At 39.3% G+C, this 6,824-nt stretch overlaps 2 annotated features.

Moving 5' to 3' along the window:
• Positions 933-1,606: an enhancer, noted in NCBI's record as "OCT4-NANOG-H3K27ac-H3K4me1 hESC enhancer chr12:47063431-47064104 (GRCh37/hg19 assembly coordinates)". NCBI's record gives its function as "activates a minimal SCP1, AML or CMV promoter by ChIP-STARR-seq in naive and primed H9 embryonic stem cells {active_cell/tissue: H9 hESC(naive and primed)}" and the evidence as "EXISTENCE:reporter gene assay evidence [ECO:0000049][PMID:30033119]".
• Positions 1,620-2,120: an enhancer, noted in NCBI's record as "H3K27ac hESC enhancer chr12:47064118-47064618 (GRCh37/hg19 assembly coordinates)". NCBI's record gives its function as "activates a minimal SCP1, AML or CMV promoter by ChIP-STARR-seq in naive H9 embryonic stem cells {active_cell/tissue: H9 hESC(naive)}" and the evidence as "EXISTENCE:reporter gene assay evidence [ECO:0000049][PMID:30033119]".

Below are 6,824 nucleotides of genomic sequence, written 5' to 3' on the forward strand. Positions count from 1 at the left end.
GGAGCAGGCATATCGCATGACAAGAGTTGGAGCAAGGGAGACAGGGAGGAGGTGCCACACTCATTCAACAGCCAGATCTCTGTGAACTCATAGAGTGAGAACTCACTCATTGTCTCAAGGACAACACCAAGCCCTTCATGAGGAATCTGTCCTCATGACCCAAATACTTCCCACTAGACCTATCTCCAACATTGGAGGCAACATGTCAACATGAAATTGGGAGGAGACAAATATCCAAACCATATCATTCCACCCCTGGACCCCTAAATCTCAAGTTCTTTTCACATTACAAAATACAATCATCCCTTCCCAATAGTCCCAAAGTTTTAAGTCATTCCAGCATTAACTCAAAAGTTCAAGTCCCAAGTCCAAAGTCTCATCTGGAGGTGAGTTTCTTCTACCTATGATTCTGTAAGACCAAAAACAAGTTATTCACTTCCAAGATACAATGGAGTTACAGGTATTGGGTAAACATTTTGATTCCAGAATGGAGATATCAACCACAAGAAAGGGGTAACACGCCTCAAGCAAGTCCAAAACCCAAGAAGGGAGTCGTTAAATCTTAAAGCTCCAAAATAATTTCCTTTGACTCCATGTACCTACCTTGAGGGCACACTGGTACAAGGGGTGGGCTCCCAAGGCTTTGGACAGCGCTGTCTCTATGGTTTTGCAGGGTGCAGCCCCAGTGGCTGCTCTCACAGGTTGGAGTTGAGTTTCTGTGGCTTTTCCAGGTTCAGGATTCAAGCTGCTGGAGGCTCTACCATTTTGAGGTCTGGAGGGCAGTGGCCCACTTCCCAGAGCTCTACTAGGAAGTGCCCCAGTGAAGACTCTGTGTGGGAGCTCAAACCCCAAATTTACCCTCAGCACTGGCCCAGTAGAGTATCTCTGGGGACTCTACCCTGTAGCAAGCTTCTGCCTGGGCACCCAGTGTTTTTATACATCCTTTGAAATCTAGATGGAAGATGCCAAGCCTCCTTCACTCTTGCATTCTGTGCACCTGCAGGCTTAACACCACATGGAAGCCACCAAGACTTATGACTTGCATCCTCCTGAAGAGTGGCTCAAACTGTACCTGAGGCCCTTTGAGCTGCAGCTGGAGCCAGGAGCTGGGACGCAGAGAGGAGTGTCCTGAGGCTGCAAGGGCAGCAGAGCCCTGGGTGTGGCCCCCAAAACCATTCTTTCCCCTAGGCCTCTGGACCTGCAATGGGAGGAAATGCCTAAAAGATCTCTGAAATGCCTTTGAGGCCTTTTCCCATTGTCTTGGATATTAACACTTGGCTCCCTTTTAGTCATGCTAATCTCTCTAGCAAGTGGTTGCTCTGCAGCCTTTCTGGATTCTTTCTCCAACAAAATGCCAGACTGCGTGCAAATTTTCTAAACTTTTACTCCCTGCTTCCCTTTTAAATATAAGTTCCAACTTTAAGTCTTGTTTTTGCTCCTGCATCTAAGCATAGGTAGTTAGAAGCAGCCATGCCACATCTTGATTGCTTTGCTTCTTATAAATTTCTTCTGCCAGATACCCTAAGTCATCACTCTTAAGTTCAAAACTTCCACATATCCTTAGGATGAGAAAATGATGCAGCCAAGTTCTTTGTTGAGGCATAACACAGGTAACCTTTACTCCAGTTTACACTATATTCCTCATTTCCATCTGAGATCTCGTCAGCCTGGATTTCACTGTTCATATTTCTATCAGCATTTTGGTCACAACCATTTAGAAAGTCTCTAAGAAGTTCCAAACTTTGCCCCATCTTCCTGTCCTTCTGAGCTCCCCAAACTTTTCCAACTTCAGCCTGTTACCAAGTTCCAAAGTTGCTTCCACATTTTTAAGTATCCTTATAGCAATGTCCCACTCCTCAGTACCAGTTTTGTGTGTTAGTCCATTCTTGTATTGCTATAAAAGAATATCTGAGACTGGGTAATTTATAATGAAAAGTGATTTATTTTGGCTCATGGTTCCACAGACTGTACATGAAGTGTGGTGCCAATATCTCCTTCTGGTGAAGACTCAGGAAGCTTACAATGATGGTGTAAGGTTGAAGTGGGAGAAGGCATATCACATGGCAAGAGTGGGAGCAAGAGAGAGAGAGGAGGCGGGTGCCAGGCTCTTTTAAACAACCAGGTCTCATGTGAACTAATTGAATGAGAACTAACTCATTACCATGAGGACAGGCCAAAGACATTCATGAGGGACTTGCTCCCATGATCCAAACACCTCCCACTTGGCCCATCACCAACATTGGAGGTAACATTTCAACTTGAGAGTTGGAAGGGACACACATCCTTCCATATCAGGTCCTAATTTTTCACCCCTCTCATGTGACTTTACAGTTCCTCCCATTTAAAAGGGAAGAGTATTATTTCTCCAACCCTTGACTGGATTCAGTCTTATAACTATTTTTGGCCAATAGAGTGAGGCAGAAATGACAGTGTACCAGTTCTGAAACTGTGCCGGCAGAGCCTTTGAATGTTTTTTTTGTCTCTCACACCTCTGCCATCATCATGAGAAGAATATGGCTTTGCTAGCTCCAAATCTGGGCTCGACATTCTTCTGCTCCAAAGAAGATGAGAGAGCCATGTGGAGCAGAGCCTCTCCAGATGAGGCCAGCCTAGGTCAATGAAACTCCAGCCAACACACTGACACTCAACAAATGCTTTCTGGTGCATGCTGCTGAGATTTTATAATTGCCTGTTATACAACATTGTAGCATTAGTTGGCTGATGCAAATATATTATTAGCTAATTATATTGATTGAATTTCTGGTATTAAACTATTTTACATTTCTGAAACAGAATTGTTTATTATTATTTCAACACAGGACTGAATTCAGTCTGCTTAATTGTTCATTTAGAACTTTCTGTTTGCATTCAATGGTCATCTTAGTCTATTTTATCTTTCTCAGGTTGGAGCATTAAAGTTATGTTATCATCATAAAACGTACTGGGATATTCCCCTAACTTCAACCTCAACATACAGCAGTATACAAATGCTGATTCCTAGAAAAGTTCTCATGATTCCCTGGTATAATGAAAAAAAAAAATAAGGAAGATGCAATGGGTTTTATAACGTCATTTGATTTAAAGAATAGTCCTTAATTCTGATCTTATGCACTTCCCATATTCTCAATGTTAGATTATTTATTCTTTTGCAAAATGATTCTGCTGATAAATGGTAATAAAAAAGAATGTTTCTACTACAAAAATTAAAACCTGGCAATCCCATGTTGGTCTCTCCAACTTTTCCCCTTAGCTCTCATAGTTTTTGAAATCCAAAGTTTGAAACCGTTTGTCTAGAACAATTTAAAGAGCATGTAATTAAATATAAAATAATTTGTGCCTTGAGAATTGGAGCTATTCTGAAGCAGTATGAAAGAGTGGTAGAGAATAGGAACTTTGAACCGTGTGGCCTCTAGCAGTCACTTAACCATTCCAAGAATCATTTTACTCCCTTGTAGAACAGGGCTAATAAGTAGGTACCTTTTAGGTCTATTATAAGGTCATATGTTATAAGATACTTAGCATAATATTGTACATATAGTAAGTACCTGATATGGCTTGGCTCTGTCTCCACCCAAATCTCAACTTGAATTGTATCTCCCAGAATTTCCATGTGTTGTGGGAGGGACCTGGGGGAGGTAATTGAATCACGGGGACCGGTCTTTCCCGTGTTATTCTCGAGACAGTGAATAAGTCTCACGAGATCTGATGGGTTTATCAGGGGTTTCCACTTTTGCTTCTTCCTCATTTTCTCTTGCTGCTGCCATGTAAGAAGTGCCTTTCACCTCCCAATATGATTCTGAGGCCTCCCAGGCCATGTGGAACTGCAGGTCCAATTAAACCTCTTTTTCTTCCCAGTCTCGGGTGTGTCTTTATCAGCAGCATGAAAACAGACTAATACAGTACTCAATAAATATTAGCTATTTTCATTACTAGTATTTTGATATTTTTCTCTGAATATATTTTGTTCTTAAAATGTTTTCTGTTCTTGATTTAATTTTTAAAACTTTTTGAATTGAAGTATAACATATATATTTAAAAATGCAGAAATCAAAGTGTATTACTTAATATTTAAAACAAATCAAACATATCCATGTAACGACCTAGGTCAAGAAATAGAATATTACCAGCATCTCAAGAATCTCCCATACAGACACATACAAGCACCCTACCAATGAAAAGTATCCATTATATATAATTCTCCTCAAAGGTATCCTTATTTCTAACACCATAGATTATTTTTCTGTTTTTGAAATTTTTATAAATAGAAGTATACAATATATAATATGTAATTTTTTTTGGTCTGGAATCCATTGCCTGAAATCGTATTTTTAAGAGTCAAGTGTGTTGGTGTGACATGTTTGGCTCTGTGTACCCACCCAAATCTCATCTCAAACTGTAATCCCCATGTGTCGAGGGAGGGACCTTTAATCTCCACATGTCGAGGCAGGGAGGTGATTGGATCAATGGGGGTGGTTTTCCCCATTCTGTTCTCGTGATAGTGAATAAGTTCTCATGAGATCTGACGGTTTTATAAGTGTTTGGAAGTTTCTCCCTCACTCTTTTTTCTCTCCTGATGCCTTGTGAAGAAGGTGCCTGCTTCCTCTTCACCTCCCACCATGATTGTAAGTTTCCTGAGTCCTCCCCAGCCATGTGGAGCTGTGAGTCAATTAAACCTCTTTCCTTTATAATTTTCCCAGTCTTGGGTGTTTCTTTAAAGCACAGTGAAAATGAACTAATACAGTGCATGCAGCTACAGATTTTTCATATTAATGTATAGTATCCAATTGTGTGATTAGAACACAATTTATTTATTCATGCTAATATTGATGGATTGTTTCCAATTTCATGATATATCATCAAAATATAATCACATTATTGGTCTTTTTAAGAACCAACTTTTGGATTTGTTAATATACTACTGGCTTTATGCTAGCTAATTAAGATCTGCTTTTATCTTTATTAACTCATTTGTCCTTCTTCCTGGCAGTTTTCTTTCCTAAGTTTAAGTTGAACACTTAGTTTATTTAGCTTAATTTGGTGAAGATGCGTTTGCTTGTCCCAGATTTTTCATGAGATGAGATTTTTCATGAGATGAAGTCTCTTTTTCATGAGATGAAGTCTAAATGCGTTAGGAGGCAAAACTTGGGTGTATTTTTCTGAACACAATTAAATCGCTTTTAAATGTTAGTTTATGATGTTGTGAGTTTTTGTTTTTTTCTTTGCACTTATTTTAGTGGGAAGTTGCACTAGGCTCCATAATTGCTGTCAACCAAATCCTGTATGAAGCTGGAAGTCTGTACTATGGAAAATCTGCTAATTGTATCCATGCTCCCATCCATCCATCCATCCATCTACCCATATATCCATAATTTTATGTGAAATACACCACGAGGTGCTAGAAACATTTAGGTGAACAGATAGAAAGGTTTTCTTAAGGAAGGACAAGAGGGAGCTGCAATTAAACAGGGACTGACAGGATCAATTTGCATTTTAGAAAGGCAATTCTGATGGCAATATGGAGAACAAACTGTAATTCAGCAAATTGGAATGTAGGAGCAGCTCTTCAGAAGAATGGATGACCTTCAGGTGCTCACTGTTCATGAGGAGCTGGTGAGGTGTGGCAGTGGTGCCAGGAGGGAACATTTTTTATTATATAAAGTCTTCATGATGCAACAGATCTATTTTTTTTGGCACACGAATAAGAAACTATGCCCTTAAAGAAGATAAAGTCTCCAATTGTTTCTTTTTAAAAGTTTCTTATCCTAATGTCTAATAGGAATCATTAGAAATTAATATTTTTCTAACTAGAGGCAAGTGATAATGTCTCAAAATTTCCACAGCTGTTTCAAACGAAATCTTAGCATTAATCTATTTCTTTTTCTGTGACATTTTAAATACTAATGTAGCATTCATAACACCTTTCCAGAATCCAAATTATATTTTATAGGAAGTAAAAATGTCTTTGAGCCAGGCTATTCATCCAAAGCATTAAGAGTTTCAGCTAGATAATTAGAGACTGGTTAAAAAAAAATGTGAATATGAAGTAGCAGAGCTAATTCTAATGAACCACCTAGGACGATTAATCTTATAAGTTTAATGTTCTGTCACTTAATATTTAAAAAAAATTTTGGAAATAAAAGACACCATCACATGATGACTAATCGAAGCTGGAGCATTTGAAAGTGATTTGAGAGGGAAAGTGAGAGGTACCTCCTGGTGAATATACTAGCTTAAGGAGCAATGTGGTATTTGGGTTTCTGAACCTGCAGGTTCTACAGCCTTGTGCTTATACCGTGACTCGTGAAGGAAAGGAGGCTGACACAGGTAAAGAAAATACCAGAAGTGTCATAAAAGAGGATTTGGTAATTCAGCAAAGCTCTGAGTCAGTAACTACCACAGGTCTGGCATGGCAATTGCAGGCCATGGATTATTAAAACGGCCTTGTTTGAAATGAAATTTAAAAATGGAGGTCTTAGCCCTGGATCTCCTTTTTGTAAATAGCATTTTTAGAGAACTGACCACAATGCTTGAAAAAGGTTACAATTCATCAACCTAAGCCACCCATTTATGGTTTGGTGTTGATGCTTTTCTCTACTCACTCTCTAAGGTTAGTTAAGATGTTGTTAGATTGTTTTCTCACCTTGATTTAGAAGAGAATGATGGTCCCTGGCTGGACAGGCACAAGGATATCTCTCTAGGGTGGTGAGGGGTGAGGAATGAGGGCAGATTGGGGATGAGGGAAGTGGAGGGAGAGATGGGAGGAGGAAAATAGCATGTGGAATTAAACACATCCAAAGTTTTTGGTGTTCCTTAGATGACATTTA

This window comes from Homo sapiens, chromosome 12 (genome assembly GCF_000001405.40).
Source record: "Homo sapiens chromosome 12, GRCh38.p14 Primary Assembly".
Taxonomy (NCBI): domain Eukaryota; kingdom Metazoa; phylum Chordata; class Mammalia; order Primates; family Hominidae; genus Homo; species Homo sapiens.